The sequence below is a fragment of the Homo sapiens genome, chromosome 8 (genome assembly GCF_000001405.40).
Source record: "Homo sapiens chromosome 8, GRCh38.p14 Primary Assembly".
NCBI classification, from domain to species: Eukaryota; Metazoa; Chordata; class Mammalia; order Primates; family Hominidae; genus Homo; species Homo sapiens.
Genome location: NC_000008.11, coordinates 4523508 through 4538575, shown reverse-complemented (window position 1 = coordinate 4538575; position 15068 = coordinate 4523508). Strand labels below are relative to the sequence as shown.

The 15068-nt window shown below is 37.9% G+C and overlaps 1 protein-coding gene and 1 long non-coding RNA gene across 4 annotated transcripts in view; one reads left to right on the top strand and one right to left on the bottom strand.

Annotated features, from left to right (window-relative positions):
- Positions 1-15068, top strand: part of CSMD1 (CUB and Sushi multiple domains 1) — a 2059554-nt gene that overhangs the window by 456339 nt on the left and 1588147 nt on the right. The window lies entirely within an intron of this gene.
- LOC105377789 (uncharacterized) lies at positions 434-10367 on the bottom strand. Its single transcript, XR_941368.3, has 3 exons — positions 10183-10367; positions 1950-2014; positions 434-896 (listed from the first exon to the last, which is right to left on the bottom strand). It is a non-coding gene; the product is annotated as an uncharacterized LOC105377789 (long non-coding RNA).

Sequence of the window (15068 nt, the reverse complement as noted above, 5' to 3'; positions counted from 1 at the left end):
CAACTCCTGGGTTCAAGCGATTCTCCTGCCTCAGCCTCCCAAGTAGGTGGGATTACAGGCACCTGCCACCACACACAGCTAATTTTTCTATTTTTAGTAGAGACAGGGTTTCACCATGTCGACCAGGCTGGTCTCAAACTCCTGATCTCAGGTGATCTCCCTGCCTCGGCCTCCCAAAGTGCTTGGATTACAGGCATAAGCCATCGCACCCAGCCTTTTAAAAAAAAAAGTTAGACCTGAAGAGAAAATATGAACTCTGGAGAAGTTATAATATTTGCAATGTCGTAGTGGTAGGATAACAAAATAAATGCAGAAGAGGGATTAGAAAAATATAAGGGTGCCACATACATCAAGGCAGTAAATAGCAGGCAAAAAAAAAAAAAATGTAGCCACCTCCAGTTGCATGTTACACCGGAGTCATGGTATACCTGTGCCAAATGACATCACAGGCTCTGGTCTATTTTATTTGAGGTTTTATTGATACCTAGCAAGAAAATGTCTCCAGAATTATTGGAGAGATGAAGCAATTGACAGCTATATTTATACTCAGTTATGTGATTCAGATGAAAACCATGACGCAGAGCATGGTGTCTGGTTTTGAGTACAGCTGTTAAAAGCAAATTGGTTTGTCAGAGCCAGTTAATGAAGTTAATGCTTTTCTCACAAAGAGAGAATAACTAATGAGAAAATAAGCATTCTAAATCCTATGTGATCAAAGCAATGCAAAAAGTGCTGCTTCTGCTGGATCTTACGCAGCTCTGTTGGATAAACACGGCCCTGAGAGTCAGCAACGGCTGCATGCCTGGTGATTCGAGGCCAGGTAGGTCTTCCACTGCGTATTCCCGTGGCTTCGCTGGGGGAAGCCATGCTTTTGTCTGAGCACACCCTGATGGAGTCTTCGAGGAAGAATGAAAGTAATGCAAATCAATGCTTAATTTGAAATGTTTATAGAATAGTGTCAGATAACAGTAGGTCCGAGAAAAGCCCAGGCCACGAAATGTTCAGCAAGTTTTCAACTTGAAAACTAATCTTTTTAATCAGAGTCAATTAAAACTAGTCTGTAATAACATACAGTTCCAAATTCTGGAATATATGACTATTAGCCTTATAGCAATTAGTAATATGACTTTTAATAACAATAACAATAATAGGAATAATCACAAAACAGAAAAGCTATATGCAATATTACATTGCCCTACAGAATTAGCACAACTTTCTTTATATAATAATCTCTCATTTTAGCATTTATTAAGTCGCATCTTTAACAGCATTTATAAAAAGATAAGCATTTTACCAGATGGATAATTTATTTCTAAAAATACCTACTGTATTTTGTCAGTTTCCTCTAAATCAAATATTTTAAATTATATTTCCCTTTAATGCTGATATATAAATAGTAGTCTCATGACAGAAAAGTACAAGAGGACCCAAATTGTAATACAGTTTTACATATAAATGCATATTTGAAAATAGTTCACATTTCCCTATTTTGATAGAATTTTCTGTCTTTGATTGTCTAAGCAGGTTTAAATAACCCACTATTGATGTTTAATATAAGACCGTGCTCAAATTTGTATGATATGTTAAGAGAAATGAAAATGATAATCATGATATGCCATTTCTCATTTTTCCAATAAGTAACATTTTACATTTTTACACAGTTTTACAATTTCTCCCTGAGAGTCTGGAGAAACTGGCACTCTGATGCACTATTGTGCAAAATGCAAAAGGTGACACCCCTTGTGAAAGGAAATTTGGCCGCATGTTAATAAAATGATACAGGTGCTATGATCTGACACAGCAGATAAGTTCCAGGAATCTATTCAAAAATATATGCTGTTGAAAGTAAAAGTGGCATATACTCAAAACTTTTTATTCTGGCATTAGTACAAATAAAAGTATAAATAAATAACAAAGTACAAATAAAGGAATAAATAAATAACCTGTACCTATTCTCAGTATCCACTTGTGCAGCCACTAAACGGCAGGATATCCACAACAGTGTCCGATGCTGCTGTAAGAAGGAGAATGCAATATCTCTGTATACAATATCATGACATGTGAGATTTGTTAAGAGAAAAAGACAAGGTAGAGAAAGTACAAGAAGGATGCACCTAGGCTGAAACTTCACGTATACAAATGGCTGAGAGTATCCATACCTATATGTATATATATGATTAAATTTAAAATTGTAAGGATAAATTTAAAAAATACAAGCAAATAAATATTACACACAGGAAATGGGAAGTTGTGTGTGCTGAAAACAGGGAGAAAACTAGATTTTTTTTAATAGAACATGTTTGTAGATTTTATTTAAAATATGTGTATATGGTTTCACATAATTATGAATAGGTTAAAATGAAATGCAAAAGCATCGTTAAAAATTTGCAGTCAAATAAAACAAATCTCCTTACTTACTGAGTTGCGGTTTATATATACAGAAAGGAACCTTGTCAAGTGAATCTTGAACATGGTAATCAGATTTACTGACTTAGTGGGGCACGCCCTATGAAAACACTGAGGAAATTTTCAGCTGTTTTCAAAAATAATGTTAATAATGGTGGCATTGATATTCTGAAACTTTTATTTATTTTAAGATAAAACAAATAATTACATCAACATTGTTAAGATCTAAGTTTCTCAATTCTTATTATAAACATCAACAACAAAGAGTTAATTATAAAAGTAAAGAAGTAAAAGCTCAGTAACCCTAAGTTTGAATTGGAAGCAGGAGTGTGAACTCACGATGTATTTCCTTTAAAGAAAGGGAAAATATTTTTATAGCTCCACTGAAAAGTCCTAGAAGCATGAACTAACCTATTAACAATGAGTACTACTGCGATCATTTAGATTATTGTCTCCAAATACCTTATTGTAAATAAAGAGATCAGGGCTCCTCAGAAAATGGCTGAATCAAGGTCTTTGGCAAATCATGAACAGAATGATTTGGAACTATATTATAATTTCACAGAACAGAGATGCTATCTTGGATGACTTAGGGTTAACCTACGAGTAACTTGGAGAGCTCTTACTGTTACAAGATAAAAAATTTGAACATCGAAAGAATGATAATGGCAATGGATTGAAACACATATACTTCATCAAAATCTTTAAGTTTATAATGATTGCAAAGCAAATCTACAAGCAGATAAGCAAATGAATTCTATTGTTCATCCTTGGAAGACGCTACAAAAGTAACTTGTTATTCTAAAAATAGCAATAAATAAACTAAAATAAGATACTTTCTCTATAACTACATATTATTTTTCAGATAACAAATAATTGACTTCCCCCTGTGATTTTGGTTAAAATTAAATTCATTTAAATTATTTAAAAATTGTTAAAATGTAGTTATTGACTATGTTATTGATATTTCAAGCAGTTCTTTATATACCTTATATAGATTATACTGCATTATATAATTTTCAAAGTTGTTATATATGGGAGATTATGTTTTTAATATTGTATCTTCTACCCTAGTCCTATAAGAGAGAAAACACATAAAGAAATAAATTGGCCAGGCGTGGTGGCTCACGCCTGTAATCCCAGCACTTTGGGAGGCTGAGGCAGGCAGATCACGAGGTCAGGAAATCGAGACCATCCTGGCTAACATGGGGAAACCCCGTCTCTATTAAAAATACAGAAATAAGCCGGGCGTGGTGGCAGGCACCTGTAGTCCCAGCTACTTGGGAGGCTGAGGCAGGAGAGTGACATGAACCCGGGAGGCGGAGCTTGCATCGAGCTGAGATCACACTACTGCACTCCAGCCTGGGCAACGGAGCAAGACTCCACCTCAAAAAAAGGAAAGAAAGAAAGAAAGAAATTGTACGTGGATGGAGTTGGAGGTCATAATCCTAAGCAAGCTAACACAGGGACCGAATACCAAATACCACATGTTCTCACTTATAACTGGGAACTAAACACTGAGCACACATGGCCATAAAAATGGGAAAATTAGACATTTCAGGCTACTAGAATGGGGAAAGAGGGAGGAGGGGAGGGGTTGAAAAACTACCTATTGGGTACTATGCTTACCACCTGGATCCAATATACCCATGTAACAATCCTACACCTGTACCCCGCTGTATCTGAAATAAAAGGCAACATTTAAAACAATAACAAAAATATTAATGAGTTGTAAATACTCTGGCAAGAGAGTAAAGGTGAATGAGTGAAAACAAGTTTCAATTGATAAACCATCCATGCAAAGGCAGAGGTTTATAGCAAAAATTGCTTCAAAGTAAGCCAGAGAGTAGGGAAGAAAAGGAAAGCCATATGAGTCGGGCTGGCCTCCTTGAGCATCCTTGGGCGTCCTTCAGCATCCTTGGGGCCAGGCCCACGCAGAAGGTATTTCTTTCTGAGATAGCAGGTGTGCTCTATTAAATTGTGCTCCCTAGCGAATGCTTTCTCTTTTCTGATGATATCAGCTCAAAAGTTCTGACAAATGCCATTAAGATAGCTTAAGATTGTGTACATGTGTACATAATCTGTTGAGATAATTGTGTCCTTACATATGCCTGAATTACAATATCTATAAATTGGAAGACTGTTCTGTTTATCCACAAATGTTATACCTATAGACTGACAAATCTGCCCTCTTGTAGTGTATTTTATATTTATATATATAAATATGTATATTATATATTAATATATGTGTATGTATATTATATTCTAGCTATTGAATTACATATATTTATTTATACACATACATACACTCCAAAAGGGCAGATTTGTCACTTTATAGGCATAAAACTTTATATAAATATAAAATATAGAAGCACAGAAAAATTACAGTGTACTTTTATTAAAATACTCCCACTGTAATACTATTGCTAATTCCATTGTATTTTTAGGTTTTTCTCTCTGTGAGTCATTTGTAAACTTTTTGATGATGTTTTTAAAAATCTTCAGTTTGCAATGACATCGTTTTGGGGTCTGCCAGATCTTCATCATTAGTGGGTTATTTTCTTGTTTAACATCCTCTTCTCGGATTGGTTAATAATTTAGGTAAACTGAAAAAAAAATTCCCAAGAATATTGTGTTCCCAAAAGGTCTGTACTATGTTCTTCAAGAGTGGGTTGATAAACTCCAAGAGCATAATAGGAGGATCTAGGCCTCTGCCCATCAGGGCTCACGTAGATTAACAGCAAAAGTCCCCTTTTTTGTCCGTCCATCCTGGTCATATGGATCTCACAGCTCTGGGATCAAATACAGAAGCCTTTCCAAATGAATTAACTCTAAACTACTGATAATCCTTGGCTTTGTGTCATGACAACTTGGCTTCCTCAGCATGATATTTGGGAGCAAGCGGCCGTCTCTACCAAAGTCTTGCTTCTTGGAGCACCACTGAGCTCTTTACATGTTTAAAATGTAGTACTACGATGACAAATGCTACCACGTGGGTACACCCTGAAAACATTAGCTGGGTGAAAGAAGCCCAGTCACAAAATGCCATATGTTGGATGGCCATTTATATGATGTATCTAGAACCAAAAAATCTTTTGACGCAGAAAGTAGGTGAGTGGTTGCCTGGGATCTAGGGAGGAGAAACTCCGGAGTGACTGTGAGTAGGGGTGCAGGATTTCTTTTCCAGAGTGACTGTGAATGACGGTGCAGGATTTCTCTTCCGGAGTGACTGTGAATGCAGGTGCAAGATTTCTCTTCCGGAGTGACTCTGAATGGGGGTGCAGGATTTCTCTTCCGGAGTGACTGAATGGGGGTGCAACATTTCTTTTCCGGAGTGACTGAATGCGGGTGCAGGATTTCTCTTCCGGAGTGACTGATTGGGGGTGCACGATTTCTCTTCCGGAGTGACTGAATGGGGGTGCAGGATTTCTTTTCTGGAGTGACTGAATGGGGGTGCAGGATTTCTTTTCAAAGTGATTGAATGGGGGTGCAGGATTTCTCTTCCGGAGTGACTGAATGGGGGTGCAGGATTTCTCTTCCAGAGTGACTCTGAATGGCGGTGCAGGATTTCTCTTCCAGAGTGACTGAATGGGGGTGCAGGATTTCTCTTCCAGAGTGACTCTGAATGGCGGTGCAGGATTTCTCTTCCGGAGTGACTGAATGGGGGTGCGGGATTTCTCTTCCGGAGTGACTGTGAATGGGGGTGCAGGATTTCTCTTCCAGAGTGACTGTGAATGAAGGTGCAGGATTTATTTTCCGGAGTGACTGAATGGGGGTGCAGGATTTCTCTTCTGGAGTGACTGAATGCGGGTGCAGGATTTCTCTTTCAGAGTGACTGAATGGAGGTGCAGGATTTCTTTTCTGGAGTGACTGTGAATGGGCTTGCAGGATTTCTTTTCTGGAGTGACTGTGAATGGGGGTGCAGGATTTCTCTTCCGGAGTGACTGTGAATGGGGGTGCAGGATTTCTCTTCCGGAGTGACTGAATGGAGGTGCAGGATTTCTTTTCTGGAGGACTGTGAATGGGCTTGCAGGATTTCTCTTCCGGAGTGACTGTGAATGGCGGTGCAGGATTTCTCTTCCAGAGTGACTGTGAATGAGGGTGCGGGATTTATTTTCCGGAGTGACTGAATGGGGGTGCAGGATTTCTCTTCCGGAGTGACTGAATGGGGGTGCAGGATTTCTCTTTCGGAGTGACTGAATGGAGGTGCAGGATTTCTTTTCTGGAGTGAGTGTGAATGGGCTTGCAGGATTTCTTTTCCGGAGTGACTGTGAATGGGGGTGCAGGATTTCTCTTCCGGAGTGACTGAATGCGGTGCAGGATTTCTTTTCAAAGTGATAAAAGTTTCTGAAAAGGGATTATGATGGTGGCTGTAAAACTCTGCACATATACTAAAAAGCACCAGATTGTATACTTTTAGAGAGTGAATTTCATGGTATGGGAATTGTATCTCAAAGCTGTTATTACAAAAATGTTTAAAAGAAGTGCTGATTCTGACAAACTAGATAAGCACACAGAGCTAGCGTGGGGCCATGGTGCACCATGAGGGCCTGACGAGCGCAGAAAGCTCGCATCTTACACTTATACAGGACTTTACATCTGGCAAAACACTTTAACATGTAGTTACACCTTCCTTCCAACCTTCTGGGGGTGTGTAGGGCAGGTGACGTTATACTTATTATAGGGATGACAAAAACAAAGCCACATAGATATTGTCAGTAACCAAATTACTCACCGAAAGCAATCAATAGAGTTGAGATTAAAACCCAAATCATCTGACTTCAAGACTTTTTCCAATACCCAAGATACAAATTATAGACTCTGTTCTTGAAGCTTATGATTAAATGACCTGAATACATTCCACGGCACATCGGGTTTAGTTATTTTTGTTGTTTTAATTAATGGATTGTCATATGGCCTGTAAGGAGATCATCTATCAGTGTGGCTAAAAATGGCAAAACAACTGTACGTCACTGATTACATGGCGATATATACATTTGGTGACAGATCCTACAAAAAATGTCCTACTCACACAGTTAAGTTACATATCTGTATTCTACTCGCGATGATTCAGCCAGGTTAATCAGTTTTATAGTAACAAAAAATGATAGAGTATCATACAATCAACGTAATCCAACAGAGAGCGGCAGAGAGGATGGGGTGGCAGTTCATGTGATTTGCCTCACATCTTGGTGCCGGAGGGTATGGCTCAGATACTAGGTCTGTCTTTTTGTGTGCATGCATTACTTAACGAAGCTCAGCTGTAGTTCCGGTATAATGGGATGAATGAGGCTGACTTTACTTCTTTGTGAAAAGGAAATAAGGAAAAGAAAGCGCTGCCTATAGTAGAATGATTTATAATCCTTTGGCTATGGGATTGCTGGGTCAATAGCAAAGACTTGGAAGCAACCCAAATGCCCATCAGTGATATACTAGATAAAGAAAATGTGGCACATATACACCATGGAACACTATGCAGCCCTAAAAAAGAATGAGTTCATGCCCTTTGCAGGGACATGGATGAAGCTAGAAACCATCATCCTCAGAAAACTAATACAGGAACAGAAAATCAAGTACCGCATGTTCCTCACTCATAAGTGGGAGCTGAACAATGAGAACATATGGGCACGGGGAGGGGAACATCACACACTGGGGCCTGTCAGGGGGTCGGGGGAAAGGGGAGGGATAGTGTTAGGACAAATACCTAATGCATGTGGGGATTAAAACCTAGATGATGGGTTGGTAGATGCAGCAAACCACCATGGCAAATGTATTCCTATGTAACAAACCTGCACGTTCAGCAAGTGTATCCCAGCACTGAAAGTAAAAAAAAAAAAAAAAAAAAAAAAAAAAAAGCACTACCTGTACGATAAACTGTGAACAATATTTGCTTATTTAAATCCGGATGATGAAGACACAAAATGGAGCATGGTATGCAGTCACAAATAACAATGGCAGGCCTGGCGCGGTGGCTCGTGCCTGTAATCCTAGCACTTTGGGAGGCTGAGGTGGGCAGATCACAAGGTCAGGAGATCGAGACCATCCTGGCTAACACGGTGAAACCCCGTATCTACTAAAATACAAAAAACTAGTCGGGCGTGGTGGCGGGCACCTGTAGTCCCAGCTACTCTGGAGGCTGAGGCAGGAAAATGGCATGAACCCGGAAGGCGGGGCTTGCAGTGAGCCGGGATCTCGCCACTGCACTCCAGCCTGGGTGACAAATCGAGACTCGGTCTCAAACAGACAAACAAAAATAAATAAAAATAAAAAAATTAAATAAATTTAAAAAAAAAAAACAATGGCAGCAGCATGGGCAGCAACCTGACGGTAACCTATGCACGAATTTTGATTTAAATGAAAAATTTGTACCTAAAGATTTTCTACGGCAGCAGTTCTGAAACTTTTGCTGTCAGGACCGCTTTATAGTCTGAAAAATTTGTAAGAACCCCATAGTAGGATTGCCACATATTCTATGAATTATACTTACACTAAAAACTAATTTGCTGTTAATATGGAATTTAACATCCTGTTGCAATTTTGTGGTTGTCTTTTGTCTTTGTTAAATCTGGCAACACTGCCCCCAAGGAGCTTTTGCTTATGTAAGTTTTATCTACTTATATTTACCCTGTCAATAATGAAGACAGAGGCATTTTTAGAAATTTATTCATAATTAAATAATAGTTATAAATCATTAAATTTTATGAGTTGCATATTTATAAGAAATAACATATTTTTAAGGAAAGTAATTTTTTTCAGAAGAAAACAATTTAGCCAGAGAAGTGGTATTGATTTACATTTGAGCAAACATATTAATGCCTGCTTTAACAGCAGACAGCTGGATTCTTGTAATTTTTTTTGCATACAATCTGTTGTAATGTTGTGCACTATGTACCTTTTGGAAAACCACATTGTCCACTCCGAACAGAATAAGAAAGGGACAAGTGACTTCTCAATATTGTCCTGATAAGAGTTTTGACCTCATGGCTTCTGAGAGTACCTCAGGGATCCCCCAAAGGGTCCCTGGAACATACTTTGAGAATCACTGTTTGGTGGCTTCTGATTTGTTACTCATGAGAGAGAGTTCTTTATCCTCTGATCAACTTTTCAGATCATCATTTTTTAAAAAAACACCGTCTCACATATATCATCACAAAGAAAATGATTTTACAAACGTCACCTTTTGTTAATAAATCTCACAAAGACCTAACAAAAATACAGTATGTTCCCTGGGGTATTTTAGATGACTCCTTGAACTCAAGCTAATCCCGTCTCAAACATGGAAAGCTTAAGACATTTTTAGTACTATACCTTTTCTTAGGACACTTCTTAAAAGACAGAAGTTTTCATGGTGTGTGTGTGTGTATGAGAGAGAGAGAGAGAGAGAGAGAAAGTGAGCTCTTATGTGAAAATTCAGCAGCATTCTCATCTTACTTAAACATTTTTTTGACCTACAAAAAGCTGTACATAATTAATATATACATTGGAGAGTTTGTGGGGTGTACACCATGAAACCATTGCTGCAATCTATGCCATAAACCTATACATCAACACTAAAATTTCCTTTTGCTTTATGTTTATTGTTATTTTGTGATACAAATAATTAACATAAGATCTACCCTTTTAGCAAATGTAAGTACACAGCAAAGTATTGTTAACTCTAGGCGCCATGCTACACAGCTGACCTCTAAGTCTTACATGATTCTCATTTTATGGAGTATTTTCATATCTGTGGTAGATATGGTAAAAGTCCACATGTGTTTTGCATATTCCACTTACCTTCTGGCATGATTGAGAGTCTTGGAATGTCTTTCTGTGACTTCCTGGATCCCACCTTCTTTATTCCTATAAAATAACTTTTGTTGTTGCTGTTCATGGATGGCTCTCTAGAGAGGTAGGGATTAATTGGACTTGTGGGGCTACTCCTGTCTAGATATTGTCTTATCACTGAAGATGGAACAGAAAGTTGGAAACAGCAGCCATGAACCAAGGAATACAGGTCAAAAACAAGGACATTGAGAAGTATTTAGAAATAGTCCTTAAAAGGATGAAAGTCAGAACCAGAACACAAAATGCAAACCCATCTGAAGCATATGCTGCTGAATGTGGTGGGAAAGGCTCTAGGCTTTGATGCATGTTTTCCAAAGCACTGACATGATCCCACACCCAGGGCTCTGAGTGAGAGCCATGGATTCTATAGAGACTGAATACAATCCAGAGTGCCCTGGGCCAGTCAGCACACCCTCAGGAAGCAGGCACGCCCTGTAGGTTGCCTTATCTTCCCCTGTTAAGTCTGATTTCATAGAACTAAGACGTCATTCCATTTAAAGACACAGGCTGAAAACTTAATCTTTCTAACTTCTGCATTAGACTTTCCAGGATTCATCAGTAAAAAGAATGAATAGCTACGATTGTAGTGTGTCTAAAGTCATGTATATGATGCATTTCATTATCAGTGTACCTATTAATAGAAAGAAATGTACTGTATAAAGTTCCACTCTCTGCTATGTACTTTCAGTATTCAAATTTTATCTATAGTTCTGGGATCTATGGCTGCAATATGGGGCCCTACCAACTTCTTAAGCACAAGATGCATCTTTGTACAAAAGAACACTTATCTCTACAAACACCTGCTGGTACGGATAACCTGCGTTTTGGAAAAGTGATACTCATTCTTTATATCTTGACACTGACAACTCACCAACTTTGCAAACAGGATCTGCCAGAAGGATAGGTAAAGGCAATTGCATGGCCTAAAATAAGTTCAGAAAAAAGGTATAAAATGACCGTATAAAAACAAATTTTACTTTCTGGTGAGATTTTATTGTTTTTTGGGTAAAGGGCAGAGGAAGACTTATATAACAATATACCAGCTACACAGCTCATTCCTGATCATATAAATGCTACAAAAAAGACTCCTAATGCTAATGTTTGATGTAATTACAGCAACCCAACTGGCCAAAACAACTAAATCTGATTTGGGAAGCATCTAGGAAGAATTATATGTGCACTTATGTCATTGGGTAACTTAACTTTCTTGAAAAATATCTTAAGTAAAAGCAAGTTAGAATCCTCCGAAGCTTCTGAAAAAAATTATGTCTTGGATCCAGACACACAAAGAAAGGGAAAGAAAAATATGAAATATTATACAGCTCAATAGCTCTATAAAGACTTTGTAAGTAAGAGGATGTGGATAGATGGTATCTACAGTTGGGTTAGAAGCCATTCCCTGAAAACCAGGATTGTCTAACCTTGACGAAGTCATGTTTGATCATTCACAATAGTCTTCTGGAATCATGGCTAAATATCCTATGTCTTCTTGGGGGGAGAAAAAAAACATTTGTCGATTAAATTTATTCTCCAGGGTTAGAGTATCTTGAAAGAAAATTCAGGTTGTGGAGAATCATAGTCCCTGCTAACGTAACCTGTTATTTATCAAATATGAAAGCAAATTTAAGCAATGATAATTATAATAACCCTACGTTTCTGGTTTTCTAATACTTCTAGGATATTTTGCAAAAATTACACAATTTTTGTTAATTCCCAAGAGTGATGTCAAGTTGGTGAAAGAGACATGATCAGTGTTTACCAATGTGTGTGTCAGCTACCTTCGTAATAGACCACAACACAGTTCTATAATTCAGTTGGTTTCCACTGTCTTTTTCATGAGTGTGTATTCTTGCTTGCACAATAATTACCTGATGTAAAAAATCATCTAGCAATTATTTTATAGTTTTTTAGTACTAGGCATTTGCCCTTGGGCATACATAAGTAAGATGCAATTCTTGTTGAAGGAGGAGACCACGATCTTCATGGTCAGCGTGAACCTAATACCATAGTATTTTGCAAAAGTATTTCTGACATTAATACATTTCCTATTATGTAGAGCTTGGTAATTGCAAAGGATGTTTGCTTTATAATGGGAATCTCTTGTCTAGTATTATAATCAAATGTAGCGCATGAAATAATACTGTGAACTACAAAGTTTCTACTCAAAAATCACAAATGTTGGTTCTCTCTTAACAACACTTTCTCCCTTTTTATGTTCTTATTTTTAGTTTGTCTCATTTTCCAAATCTCTATTTAAAAAATGTGTCCCAGGGAAAATGAATAGCCTAGAGTAAAGATAATTCATCACCCGCTCCACTCCTTCTAGAGCTGAAACAGAGCTCCCCACTGTTTTCTGGAAGCAACGGGCAAAGGCAGCGTTCAGGACCCAGATCTATCATGGATATTCTGCCCCTGGTCTCAGGTGGTTACTAAGGCCTGCACTTATCATTCAATAAATGCATGTGGGACTGGAAGAATCACGATGGAACTGTGGACACATGTCAAGAGGGCCTCCTGGGAAGCCTGCTGCTTCTAGATAGTAATTGACATGTCCCTGTGTGGAATGCTGGCTATTGATTGTCCTTGTGAAATAAGCATTGCCCATGTGATGACGAGGTGACACCTGACCATCCCTAGCTTGGGAGACTTCTATTATTTTTTAGGTTGGTGCAAAAGTAATTGTGGTTGTGGCATTTAAAAGTAATGACAAAAACCGCTATTACTTTTGCACCAAATTCATACTTCATGTATAAACCAGATAATTACAATTTCTTATGTGCAATCATTTCCTTTAGGGGTTGCTACAAGGAAGAGTAAATACTGTTTTACTAGAGGAATGGCGCTAAATTGCTCTTACGACAAATCAATGTGTTATCTGCATAATTTGTAATATGTTACAGCTCATGGTTAAAGTAGAGCATTCCCATTGTTGGGAATGACAGTTGGTGGTTCAGCTGTGAGTGGAAGGGGAGTGTTAAGATTGGAGGTTTCTCACTCACTGTCTGCTGAGAAATCCCCATGCCGGGAGCCTTGGCCACATAGCTACCTACAGACCATACTACAGAGTGTTGTCTTTCCTTTCCTCTCTGTTCGAGTGAATGATGCTTTTCTCTAAAGGACCACTTCTTCCTTTTTTGTTGGTAGGTGGGGGTTGTGGCATAGAGGGAAGGTGGGAGCCTGGTCAACTTTTCCCAAATAATAATGTTGGAGTAGATTGAAAATTTAGCACTATGATCTGGATCATCTTTCAGAAAGGTTGATGTATTTGACTTGCAGTTTAATTGACATCGTTAACAGAAAATATTGAATGTCTTGATTCAAAATATAAACTGCAATTATTTTGCACAAACCTAGTAAAAAAAATACGTGGCAAGTTGTTCTGTGATGCCATCAGTTTTCTGATAGTGTGGCTTTGAATGTGGCAATGCTGTTAAAGTTTTACTTTTTAAGAATACTTAGAAGTCATGGTAAAATTAAAAGAATGAATTCCAATTTTTATTATATAAATTGTTGAAAATAAAAAAATGCACAATTTTGACTCACCGTAATTTACTGGATAATTTCTAAATACTTTGTCGATAGAATCATGTATGATAATTTGTTTGAAAGAATTTTAGGATCAAATATCAGATTTGGTTTTAAAAACTCTGGGCGTATTTATTGTCTAAGGAGATAAAGACATTTATTTCATCAACATGACTCACTATATGTAATAAATACTTCACTAGGTGGCACTGAAAAACCCAAACCAAACCAAAAAAAAAAAAAAAAAAGACCAAGTGTGATGAAAAATGGTCATGAAAATGCAGGGTTCATACCCTGCTGTCATGTTTTCCCATCACATATCCCGTGGGCTTCACCAACGTGGCCTCACTCAGCTGTCCTGTTTCAGCCACAAGCATCACCTACTATCTGTGCAGAAATCAACTCTTGAATACTAGTGTATATTTTCTGCTATTGTTTGAAAACAGAGGAATACATCTTCTTTCTATTGCGTTTTTCTTGCTTTTAACAGTAGAATAGTACCTTTTTACTAGCAGGTTGTTAACACATATTTGTCCACTAGATGGGTATTTCATTTTTTTTTTTTGAGTGTTGTCTTCATTCTTTATACACTTCAATGTTTAATATATAAATATATTTTAATTTCCCCCTAGCTTCCCCCACTGCTTTCTTTATACATACAAATATGATGCATAGGTCTGGATTTCCTTTTTAATTCAATGCCTGGGGAGTTTTTTCTTGGGACTATTCCAGAGTCTAGTTGTTCGTTCATTCTAAAAAACACAGGGAGGATTTACCACATCAGAAACTACATTTAATGTTGGAGATCCAAAACCTAACATAGGGACCCATTTGAGGAGAGCGTAGGAACTGCTGGCTGGGGAAACACCTGGACTTTCACAGAGCATTGAGGAGCAGAGCTGATTAGAAATAGCATCATGATTGGCTTTGTAAAGACCAAAGAAGGAGAAAGGAGTTGGAGGTCAAGATGGCACAGTTAAGAAACAGTATGGTTGACATGGTTTAATGGTAATGTGGTATTTGTATACATTGCTCTGCATACAATTATGTTATTTTAATATGCATTATTTTATTTATTTCCTACAAGAACTCCATGAGGTGTGAACAGGAGGTGTCAGCAGATCATTTCATAAGCAGACCTTTAGTAGACCTGGATTAGAGTTGCCTTCAGGCCCCGGACTGGAACCTTGGTTTTCTGACTTGCATTATTTCTTCTACCACACTAATATTCTGTTATTTGAGGCAACCACAATTGCATATTCTGTCTGCATGTGTGTGAGTGTGTGTGTGTGAGAGAGAAGGAAAACTAG